This window comes from Homo sapiens, chromosome 2 (assembly GCF_000001405.40).
Source record: "Homo sapiens chromosome 2, GRCh38.p14 Primary Assembly".
In the NCBI taxonomy this organism is placed as follows: Eukaryota; Metazoa; Chordata; class Mammalia; order Primates; family Hominidae; genus Homo; species Homo sapiens.
Genome location: NC_000002.12, coordinates 56,035,491 through 56,048,289, shown reverse-complemented (window position 1 = coordinate 56,048,289; position 12,799 = coordinate 56,035,491). Strand labels below are relative to the sequence as shown.

Here is a 12,799-nt window from a genome sequence, read left to right as displayed (position 1 = left end):
TACTGACAAAATACCATGCTGTTTAAAATATGTAATGTTAACCCTATAAAAATTATCTTGAACTCTCTTCACAAAATGCCATGTTGGTTTTTTAATATGTACATTCAAAGTGTAGTGGCTGGCAATTTTTGGCATTTTTCCACACACATATTATCATCTAATTTTTACTTTCATTTATGACATAATTATTTTTGTGATTCTTACATTCTGTATTTAGCTCCTCATTTACATTGAAGAGTTTGTGGATTTATTTCATAGTTAAGTCTGCACGCATAGAATAAAAGATTAAAAATAAAGTGCAGATAGCTACAAAAATATAAAAAACTCTTCTCAGTAGTCCTTGTCTTTTAAATTGCTCGTCACACTTTAATACCATTTTTATAGGTGTCATTAAAGAGCAGTTAAGTTGAAGCTTTATTAGTTATAAATCAGTAAATACTCTCATGTCTGCACTTAAATGTCTAGTCATTGAGAGATTTGATCTACCTTATTCCTTACAAAATTATTTTGGCAAGATTTCTATGTAAACTTCACTAAATATATATAATTTTTTTCCTCTGAACAAAATTGAGAACAATAAAAATGTAGTCCATAAGTAAACTGTACATAATTAAATATCTTTCCATAATTATAATACAGAACTGATTATCCAAACCAGCAGAAATTATGCATAATCGTTTTAAATGGGGGAGACCAGGTAGATATCTGCTGCCTCTCTCTATGTAAGGAAAGATTAGCACTGTTTTTTACATTTTGATCTTGATCATCATTCTCCCTTTCATTCTTCTATTGGCCCAAACAGGTAAAACAACAGAAACCCATTACCATCTTTACTTTTGGTTCCGCTGCCTCAGCCAAGCCATCCAGGTGAGGGTTAATAAACAGAGAAAACCTGGAGAGGTTCCAAATAAAGTGAGAACTATAAAGACGAAGGCCAACGCTGCAAACATCTCAGCCAGAAAGAACACTCTTAGCACCCTACAAGCAGGTATGTGCTTACCAGCAAACTAAAGCAAATGGAAATTAAGAAGCATGATCACCACCAGCAAGGTGCTGCTGAACTATAAGGTAAGTACAACTAGGACCTTACTGTAGATGTATTTTTAGAGCTATGTTGCTGCCACTTAAGAAAAACTATTATCTATAGCAGAGAAAAAGCTTAAAAGCCTGCCAAAGGCCACAAAGAGAGTTGAATGAGTCTGGCCAAGTCTATTATATTATTTGAGATGGGCCTTCCAACCACAGGTACCTGGGGGGTTAGCAAACAGAATCCTGGCCCTAACCATACCAGAATCGCACCAAACGAGTAATAAACTAACTGCAGAGAGCAGATGGGTAAACAAGAAGCCCAAGAGCTGGATTTCATTGTTAGTTAACAGAATTTCCAACACATGTCCCTTCATTTAAAAAGTTTATTTCTACTAAATGTAAACTTCCCAAGTTCTAATGAAAGCTGATAATGCTTCCCAGTATGAGATTAATTTCCTATCAACATCTGGAGTTAAAATTCATAGGTTCATATATTCATGGATAAAACTCATGTTGGCATCTTATGCTGTGACAGAAAAACATATCTTCTCATTGTAAGGAAGAGTCTTCAGTGAACGCCTACTATGGTTTATATTCTCCTTCATCGGTGGTTAAAATTTCACTGATGAAGTACCCCTTAAAGAGAAAATCAATGTCTGAGCTTAACCACCTGCTTTGTTTTAGCACCACAAATTATTTTAAAAACTGATTAACATGAGTAACTCACTATTTAGGAAATACAGAAAATAGTGTTTCATATTGCTATCTGTTATGCAAAAAAGAAGTTAAGTTGACATACAGTCCGTTGCTCAATAATTAATTAATCCACTTAATACAAATAAATGAAAGAACTGATCAAAAAAATCCACATTTTTAAAGTCTAATTTCATCTTCGTATGATGAATAAAAATGAAAACATTCTCATGTTAAAAATAAAAATATTATTACTTTTAAATACGTCTGCTTCTACCTAAGAGATAACTTGTAGGTTCTCCATAAAGGAACTATTTCTCACTCCATTTCTTTTTTCTGCAATTAGTCTATGGCACCCAGAGCATCATGGATTAGTCTAGTTTAATCTGAACATAATCGGATAGCAAGCTTCTATTTTCTGATCTAAACAAGCTCACGTTAAAAATACATAGAACTTGGATTCTATTTAACAGAAAGGCTAAATAAGCAGAATAAAATATGACAACACATTTCTGTACTGTTAAAATATCATTACCTGTACTTTGCAGACCTTGCCAAGGCATGAAAGCACAGGCAACAGTCTACTGAAAATATGAAAAAGACGTATGTCCAGACCCACACTTCACCTGGTTCCCCTGATAGAATGAGGTTCTTTGGCCCTCGTCCTGGCTGTTTGCATTTGCATCTTTATAGATTATGAGGAGATATAGATCCTTCCGTCTCTCACAAAGCTGTCCAATTCTCGTCACTACTTAGAATGGTTTTACTTTATGGGCTGCCTCATTTATGCAAGCATAATTTTCTCTCATAAGATCTAAATGAGAACACATCTTCCCTCCCTACCCCCAGGGAATAATCCAAAAGATGGGAGGTTCTTAATAGAACAATTAATTGTGATAAATTTCTGATTTTTGCTCCTTCGTCCAGGGCTATTTCCATGGCAACATCCTCTCATCCTATTGTTGGGTTGTTCTTCATTCACACAGCAGGTTAAGCCCAGGGCAACCAGGGCAGGCTGATGGTCAGCTTTTATTTTCTCTGGCCCTTCAGCAAAGGTTAGTTGAGGTCACCAGAAGCCATAGGGTAATTACTTTTCCTCCTCAGGGTTAAAGGTACACAGATTGCTATTGGGACAACTGTATGGATGACCTTCAGCTTTTAATGTTCAATCTTCTTTTCTTTCATCAGAGAACGAATAAGTATAACAATCATGATGCAACTCTCATGCCTAAAATTCCAAGTAGAAAGCCAATTTTTATTGTGTAAAATTGCTACATATTAGGGTAATATACTCTTGAAATCAATTTGGAAAACCCAATGCATAAAAAGGTTTCCTATCTCTTAAATTTAAAAAAAAAAAATCCATGATAGAAAATTGCAGCTGTTCACTGGTTTTCCTGTTCAATTAGTCTGATATTCATAATTTCCCAGGCTTCAATCATTTCCTGAGGGTGCGTTAAGGCTGAGAAGAAAATGGAAGCCTTCCTGGCTACACTTGGGGGTCTATTTTTTTTTCCCTTCAAACACCAATTGTGGCCTTAGCCCCCTAAACTGACTAAGAGTACATTAGATTAAAATGAGTTTCCTCTCTTTGCTTCTCTATTCTCAGAGAAAGTCAGCCTCTAAAATAATTGGAGGAGGTGAGTGGAATCTTTCGAGATTAAAGGCTTAAAACACATTGCCCCACTCATTTGAAGAGCCACTTTCAGATTTCAGTTCTCCATTTCAATCTGGAATTTTAAAGGAATAATTGTTATGGGTTCCAAAAATGGAGCCAGACATCAGCCAGAATGCATGTGTCGTTGTTCTACCACAAGGCAAAAGACACAGCTCCCTGAACACGATGGGTTTCCTAATAGTTCATCTCAAAAAAAGATGCACAGAAGGGAGCCTGAGCCCCTTCTGCAGGGAGGGGCAAGGGCCATCTGAAAAGGACCACCTGACCCACTCTAAAGCCTTACCTAGAGGGAACCATCCCTCCGAGTCTCTTCATCTTTATCCAAGAAATTGCCTAGATGAGGGAAATGAGAGCAGACCCTCCACACCCACCCTGAAAGAGGTGGAGACATTATTTCTGCCCACTTTGTCAGACTCACCTGTGTATGGCTGGAGATCAACCAGACACTTTATTTCCCTCCAGTCCCCTGTCTCCCTCAACAGCCCTGACCCAGCTGTCTGTCCAGTGCCAATTTCACAGTCTTCATATGGAGTCATCCTTCTGCCCAGGAGCTTACTGGGAACCCTCCATATCCACACCAAGGCTGCCCCTACAGATTGCTTCATCAGCTGCTCCCTCCACCTGGCTTGAACTTCACACCCCCAGCCTCGCCCCTTTGGCCACTGTGCCTTGTTCAAGCAGCCTGTAGCCCCCTCGTGTGTGATTTCCCCCTCCATGAGCTTATGCCATCCCCTCTAAATGGCAATTTTCTCTTTCAATACCTGCTTCTTCGAAAGGTTGGTTTACAATCCAGTTCCTTCAGAAATTCCTCCATTTTTATCCTCTGCTATATCTAAATTAAATAAATACATGTAATAAATATACATATGTCATATACCTGTTACATATAACATATATACATATATACACTGAAGCTATAGAAAATGCATCTAAGTATCTGAATCCTATTAAATAGCAACTTTAAAGAAAAAACCCAATACCTTAAGTTATTCCCATTTACAAATTCTGGGGCCTCTTACAACACTACTCTTTTACATATTTTACATACAAGAATAACTTAGTATTCATTTTGGTAATTTTTTTTTCACTTTATTTTTTATTGTCCTTTCTACAGCTCTGCAAAGTCCTCTGTGAGCAAAATATTTTGGCATCATTGTATCATAATATTCCCAAATTGTCTCCTTTTTGTTCTCAATGACCATCTATTAGTATCTGCTGAATTATTAAGTCATGTTTAAGGAAGATAACAGAAAATAAAATATGATCACATGCAGCTATATTTCATATTATAAGTGATTTCTGAAGTCTTCAAGACTCATAGAGTACAATTACAGATGTGGATGGTAGGTGATGGAGATATTTGGAAAAGGAGATCAGAAACTGAAGGAGGCATACGTCAGGGTCTGGCATGTGACCTGGCTGCATATTACCAGGTGAAGAGAGGAAGATCTAGCAATGCCCACAGCTGGTTGGCAGCAATGGCCCACTGGTAAAAGAAATTGCCGTTTCCTCAATCACAGACCAAAGTCAAAGGGACCAACTGTGTCTCTGCTCAGGGTTCTCTGACCAGGGGCATTTGATGAAGGCAGGGCTGTCAACTCTAAAAGTTGGCTCTGGTCTGGTTAGCTGGAGCTTCACAAAGTATTAGAAAGAGTGATGGATTCACACAAGGTAAACCTTAAGAAAGTTATTATTTTCCTTTCTGCAAAGCTTCCCCCCTTTCCAATCTCCACCCCAATATCCCCACATGCTCCAGTTCTCCAGAGTCCCATCTCACAATGGGATTTTAATGTCAATAGGCCATATTTCCCCAGATCTGCTAGGAAAGATGCCTGGATGAAGCATTTAGCCATAAGTAATGCATCTCTAACAATGGCATTTCAGGCATTTTAATGACAGAGATATCTAGAAGTAATTATTAACATTACATTTGTGCAAAAGTAATTGCTGTTTTTGCCATTAAAAGCAATGGCAAAAATCATCTTCCTGTATTCTGCCAGATCACTCTATGAGTGCTCTTTGAGTCATCAACAAATTAAAAGCATAGTACCTGGGACGTATTAGGTCAAAGCATCTGGCAACACAACAGGTTGTATATTTTCACTCATTTCAAAGGGGACACAAACATTCTTCCTCTTTAGGCAAGAGATTCGACCACTTGCCCTTGGCTGCTTCTGTTTTTTAAAGCTCCTTTATTTTCCCTTGATATCCAGAGACATTGAGTTCTGTGTCCACAGTAAGCTTCTCTCTTTCCTATTTTGTAGTAAAAGTGTTACTGGAAGGTTTAACATGGAGGTATTTTCACAATTACAATTGATTCTTCCTCATACTCCAGAAATAGATGTGAGTTGTCATCCCTTCTGATCATTGTCTTCGCATACAGAATGTAAGGCTCTTTCCTAAAGAGCCTGAGAACCTTCTTTAGCAGTTGTTGAGTGGTTACAGAAAATGGTAGGGAAGTGGCATGGCCCACAGCATCAGGCCCCAGTGCCAAATAAGTGATAAGTGCTCAGTTCCTGGCATCTCTGTCCTAAAGCTTGGGCTCTTCCAGGGCTAACACAGAATGGGACTTGGGAAGAAGGCTTGTAGCACAGTGCTGCTCAAATTTTTGCATGCAGAAGAAATACAGATTTATTGACCTCACCACTAGAGATGTTGAGTCAGTAGCTGGGACTACAGGCACACGCCACCATGCCTGGCTAATTTTTAAAAATTTTTTGTCAAGACAGGGCCTCACTACTTTGCCCAAGCTGGTCTCAAACTCCTGGCCTCAAGCGATCCTCCTGCCTCGGCCTCCCAAAGTGTTAGGATTATAGGTGTGAACCACCTTACCTTGCCTTCATTTTTAAATAAAGATAATTCATCCAACCTCCACGATTGTTATGAGATATAAAAATAAAAATACATAAATTTAGCCAATGACTACTACAAAGAGTATTATTATTTGAAATATTGCTTTTTATCCAGCTGTGATCTGGAAACTCTACATTTGTTCGAAGTTAGGATGCTATGAAGGCTATTTGAGAGATGTTGTCAGTGAAAGACCAGACGTTCTCTCCTCAGTGGCCCACGTGCAAGTCAAAGGACAGATTTTACAGAGGTCCTTCTGAGAGACCCTTCCTTCTCCCTGAAGTTCCATGATTTTTTTCCCCATTGAAAACACCTGAAAGATTTTGGCATAATTTTCTTCATTTAAACATTTTTACCAAAAGCAAATTATGCTGACTGAATCAACAGAGAACACTGAGAGGAAATAGAAAGATACTGACCTGGGAGTCAGGAAACACATTCTAATGTCCTGGCCCTGCCACTGGGCAAATAAGTGCCTTGAGCAAGTCAGTTCACCTCACTAGATTTCTGTTTCCTCATGTGAAAAACAAGTCAGTCGAACTAGCTATCACGGTGCGTATGGTACTTATTACACACAGGTGCTGTTCTCAAGGCATTACACATACAAACTCAAGCTCACAACAATTCTATGAGCTAGAGAGCATTTTTCACCCCCACTTTATAAATGAGGAGACTGAGGCACACAGAGGTTAAAATAGTCTTGTTCAAAATCATGTAACTATTAAGTAGTGGAGATGAAATTTGCATCTACTGAATCTATTTCAGCATCTACACTCTTAACCACGATGGTGTGCTGCCTTTCACCAAGGGGAGTTTAGATGGTACTAAAAAGTCCCTTTCAGTGTTTACATTCTATGGATCTATGAGTTTAAAATAACCCCTAGAGTCTCAGATTCTATATTTTAGACCAGTGGAGCAAAGAGCTTATTAAAAAACCTGTAACTTATGACTCACACTACCATCTTACACCAGTACCAAAAAAAAAAAATGTTGCAAGTGCTTTCACAGACATGAGCACCTTAGATTGTAATTGGATCTTGTGTATGTAGGGAAGGTAATAGCACCATGCACAAGACCAGAAAAATGAGGCCCAGATTGGTCAGGACTTGACTATGTCACTCAGTAAAACTAGAGATGAGTCTTACTTCTCCAGTAAGATCAGAGCTGCAGGCTGGTGGTCTGGGGTCCATCCAACCTGAGTCACACATTTTTCCTAGGACTTCCTATTGGACTCAGCAGAGACTCACTAAATTTTGAGGTGTGACAGAGAAAGGAGCCTTCCCTTCTAAGGTTCTCCTCTGTTTCCCCCTAGTCTAACCTCTCACACGGACACCAAGATGTCTGGCCTGATATTAAGGAAGTCAGCTCACACAACCCTTCAAAATTCAGAAGAAAATATATGGGGGTTGCTGCAGAATGAGCTGCCCTGTCTTTCAACTCCATTTCAGGCCTTCTGAAGAGCCATCTGACCTTGCAGCCTCTGCCAGTTCTTTTCCTCCTCCTTCCTTCACTCTTACAGGTGCCTTCTGCCCTGAACTGGAAAAAAAAAAAAAAAAAAAAACTGCTCTCTCAAACATCACCTGTAACTTCCGGTTCCCAGAACCAGCTGCTTGTTCCCTGGATGCACCTGGTGCTTTCCCACCCAAGCCTCTGCTCACATACTTCCCTCCCTCTAGAACAGGCTTCCCACCATCCTACCTTCAAATCATATGCTTGTTTACAGATTTATCTCACACGTCACCTCTTCCAGGAAGTGTGTCCTACTCCTTCCAATCAGACATTATCTACGTTTTTCTTTGATCACTCACAGTACCTTTCTTGTGCCTTTCTCATGGCATGCTCAAGTTCTGCTTTTTCCTGCTGTTGGGTTTATACTTTCTTATTTCCCATCAGCTTCTTCATACCCAGACTGCTTTTTACTCCTCGGCGTGCTGAGAGCAGTGCCTGGCACTGATAAATAGTTCCTTGACCTTCAATTAATCTTCAATTAATCTTTTATTCTGTAGGATTCACTTTGTGAGAATATATAGCAAAGAAACGAGATCATTAGACTCTAGCATCTTTCCCAAATTTCACCAATTGTTGCAGGAGGTGGGGGGGGTAAATGTCTTAAATAAATTTCTGACTGACAGAGCTCATCCCAGAGGCGAGAACATCCTTTCTGTAACTGCCATGTAGCCTGTCTCCAAAGAGGTTTCCAAGTGTGAACACGTCAGCCCGAGACTCTGTTAATTGGATCTTCATCTGCTCAGGGTCCTCACTGCACAGCTGCTGTTTTACTCCAGAAGTGGCGAGCTGGGGATGAGGAAGCACAGGAGACGGCCTTAGGAAAATCCTCACTCTTCCAGAGAGCTCCATTTTCACTTCTGCTGGTCCTCACCATGGGAGAGTGTGGGATCAAGAGACCAAGGAAAGGCCAACTGATGTGTTTCATTCTTCTTTTTCCCCTTCCACTTTAACATATTAGAGGAGTGTTATTTGGAATTTCGACATTTACAAAGAGTTTAAGGTTAAATTATTCTGGTGGAAAAGAAAAATGCCAATCCTTTCCCCTAAAGACAGCAAAACTGGTTAGCATGAAAATGCTCCCAGGATGTTCAAGTCTTTTGGAGTTTCTCCTTACCAATAACTCTTCATGAACACCCCTCTGTGAAGTAGCTTGAAACAATGCAACTGGTGTCTGAGTGTTTTTCAAATAGGCATATGGACCTGGAGAACTGGAGCTAGAAGATGCCATCTATGAACCAGTGCTTTAGAGATTAGGCTTGGTGGAGAAGACAGCTGGGTTGCCCAAGCCTCCCTCATTGCCTGCAACAAGGCAAACACGGGCACCTTTGGGACTTAGACGTGATCTGCCAGCACAAGGGTGTCCATTGTTCACTTGGCCAAATCGGGGGCTTTGGAATGGTTAAGAAAAAAAGCAAAGCGGCCCTCCTTCTCCATCACACAGCAGTATACATCAACTTTTTAAAAATTACATCCCCCCTGCCTTGGAGTCTTTTTAGCCTTTTTTCTAATTGCTCCCCCTTGACGTTGTAATGCCACAGATACATTGTTTATATATCTGTTTATGTACTGTGACCCTTTGAAAGGCCACAAGCCATTGTCATGACTCAGATTTTTTTGCTCCTCAAACACTGATATTTGTACCCCTTCCCTACTCAGAGGTGGGCGGGGGGGGCGATATCCCTTCATGAAGAATGCATGTTGCAGGCCCACCCAGAGGGTTGACAGGACACTTCCTGACCACCACCCAGGGTTTCTTTTCATCTTTTCTCTCACTCCCCTTCAGATTTGGTAGGAGCCTGTACCTTGTAGAGCACAGAGCTAGAAGGCCCAGGTTGAGCAGGTGGCTACTCTATGGAATGTCATGGCAACATGAGAGGATCAGGGCAGAGAGACTGACAATAGTCTCAGAGAAATGGTGTGTTTCATGCAGTGAAATATTAGGTTTCACAGTAGTAAATGTTGAGCTAATAATTATTATAAGACATGGATTTAATGGGTAAAATTTTCAGCAATAAACGTATCCAAAGAATAGCATTACAAGAGTTCAGAAATTAGATATTCCATTGCCCCTTTTACCAGCAAAAGGGTATGATATTGGATTTTTCCTTCAATATAATTCGCTTTTCCAATATTATAATTAACTTGACAAATAGACCTCAACTTCTACACCTTCCCTTTTGCCTGAACACTTTATAGGCACAACATAATGATTCTAGTTATTAGCTCACTTTAGGCTAAAAATAAGAGGACTAACAATACATTAACATTTCCATTATCAATCAGAAAATGGTAGGTCAGCTCCTTGAATGATATGTTGCTCAGCACATTAAATCCTTGAACTCAGCAAAAATATATAAATACTTTTGCTCCTGAAGTTATGGTTTAAGAGAGTCATGTGGCAACATAAATTGGAAATGAGGAGGACAATCAATTTGGATTGGTCTAAATGGAAGAATAATGGATTGCTAATTTTTTTTCCTTTATTTAGTATAGAAACTGAGCGCCCATGCTATCAGTTTGGTATCAAAGAGGAAGCAATGAGTAACCAATCAAAAACAAACTTCTACTTGCTTTTGTGCTGGTACCATCTGCTATACACATATCACCTTGTGACAGGGCCAATGGACATCTACCAACTGATACCATTAAAACAGAGTGAAGAACAAAGTATTCTCCTTTCACTTGGGCACCAGAGGACCTGGTTTTTCTGCTTAAAGCTAGTGCCAATGCTGTGTTTCAGTCACTGCAGATTCCACAGATTTATCATCAATCTCCTCCCACACATTCATTACTGCCAACATTTTGAAACTTCAATAGTGCCTCCATAACACTAGCTTAATAGTGTCTGTAACTGGAGAAAGAATCTAAGAACTGCAGGCTAGATCCAATCATGCCCATTTGTCTCCGGCTGTTTTCCCTACAAGGGTAGTGCTGAGTAGTTGCAACAAAAACTGGCTTTTTGAATTGCCAAAATGAAAAATAATTACTGTCTGGCTCTTTACAGAAAAAGTTTTCTGACTTTGGTAACATGGATTTAAAAAATAAATAAATAAAAAGAAAAAACAAAAAAATCCTTTTCTTCTACAGTTTTCAGAGTTTTCTTAGATAGAATTGAGAGTTTAATATTATTTTTAGAGCAAAATAATATATACTTGTTTTTCTACTCCTAGGAATGAAATTTGGAAATATAAACTCAGAAACGTAGTAAAAGCATTATTGATAATGACATGGATTTTATATTGGCCATCTGCTATTTTTATTAAAAAGTAATATTAAATTTTCTCTTCAAACAATAACTATGGATGTTCATTATAGAAGAGGCTGGCATTTCTCCAAAGCACAGTTTTCTTAAGTAAGGAAGCATATTCAAGAAATGGACGTAGGCCGGGCGCGGTGGCTTACACCTGTAATCCCAGCAATTTGGGAGGCTGAGGTGGGTGGATCACGAGGTCAGGAGATCGAGACCATCCTGGCTAACACGGTGAAACCCCATCTCTAATAAAAATACAAAAAAAATTAGCCGGGCATGGTGGCAGGCGCCTGTAGTCCCAGCTACTCGGGAGGCTGAGGCAGGAGAATGGCGTGAACCCGGGAGGCAGAGCTTGCAGTGAGCCGAGATCGCGCCACTGCACTCCAGCCTGGGCGACAAGAGCGAGACTCTGTCAAAAAAAAGAAAAGGAAAGAAAAGAAAGAAATGGATGTAAAATAGAATTTTCATACATGAATATAAATTAAACACTAATATCTCAAATGACCTCTTAAAGAATAGTAAGGCAAAAAATGTAATTAGTGCTATATGGTGCCTGAATGTGATATTAGTTAAGGAGAACCAGAAATCAGAGAACATGAATATGGCAATTAGTGATTGCTCTCACCCATATGATAGTATGTTTATATATAAATTTTTAAAATATATCTGGCCAGGCGCTGTGGCTCACGCCCATAATCCCAGCACTTTGGGAGGCCAAGGCGGGTGGATTGCTTGAGGCCAGGAGTTTGAGACCAGCCTGGCCAACATGGCAAAACCCTGTCTCTACTAAAAACACAAAAATTAGCCATGCCAAGGTGGCACGTGCCGGTAATCCCAACTACTCGGGAGGCTGAGGCACGAGAATCGCTTGAATCCAGGAGGCAGGGATTGCAGTGAGCCATGATCATGCCATGTACTCTGGCCTGGGCAACAGAGTGAGACTCTGCCTCAAAACAAACTAAATTTTAAAAACGCATCAACATATCCAATCTACTAATATTTATTAAATATCTACTATCAAATATAATAATGATATTAAATATAAGTAAGTATATAAAATTTCTACTATACAGTACTGAGAAATAAAGCTGTAAAACGCATAGCCCCTGCTGTCAGAGAACTTAAAATCTATTAGGTATACTAAGATTTGCAAACAGACTCCTTAAATTCTGCTTTACATAAATTTTTAAATTTCAATACATTATTGAACATATAGAAGTAAGAAAACCTTCATGCTCGATTTAGACAATTATTTGATTATTATAACTCAAACAGCATGAAAAAAGCCGACTGCATGCACCTCCCAAAAAAATTACCTTCCCTTCCCAGGTATCGCAGTGACTGAAATTCTACTGAATTTTAGGAAGTCATCCCTTTAGGTTAAACATTTCCCCAATTTCCTTCCAATACCAATGGGTCATTATTTAGATTTTCCTAGGCATATTTAACTGCTGGTATTTTAAATATAAGAATCACTTAAATAAATTACTATAATAGATTACTTTTATTTTTCTAGTAATTTTAGACCAGGCTGCCCAACATGAAGAAATGTCTTTACTAAAAGTATAAAATTATCTGGGCATTGTGGCGCATGCCTGTAATCCCAGATAGTCAGGAGGGTGAGGCAGGAGGATCGCTTGAACCGGGGAGACAGAGGGTGCGGTAAGCCAAGATCACGTCATTGCACTCCAGCCTGGGCAACAAGAGCGAAACTCCATCTCAAAAACAAACAAAAAAAAAGAATTACCCCAAGATGATTTAACATGTTGTCATATCATTTATCTGTTAGA

The 12,799-nt window shown here is 39.3% G+C and overlaps 2 long non-coding RNA genes across 2 annotated transcripts in view; one reads left to right on the top strand and one right to left on the bottom strand.

The window, feature by feature from the left end:
• The window catches only part of LOC105374690 (uncharacterized), a 231,734-nt gene that overhangs the window by 129,268 nt on the left and 89,667 nt on the right, over positions 1-12,799 (bottom strand). The gene's annotated exons all lie outside the window — the stretch shown is intronic.
• MIR217HG (MIR217 host gene) overlaps positions 964-12,799 on the top strand; it is an 83,921-nt gene continuing 72,085 nt past the window's right edge. Inside the window, exon 1 of the long non-coding RNA NR_126406.1 lies at positions 964-1,068. This is a non-coding gene — a long non-coding RNA (MIR217 host gene). The remainder of the gene's footprint in view (positions 1,069-12,799) is intronic.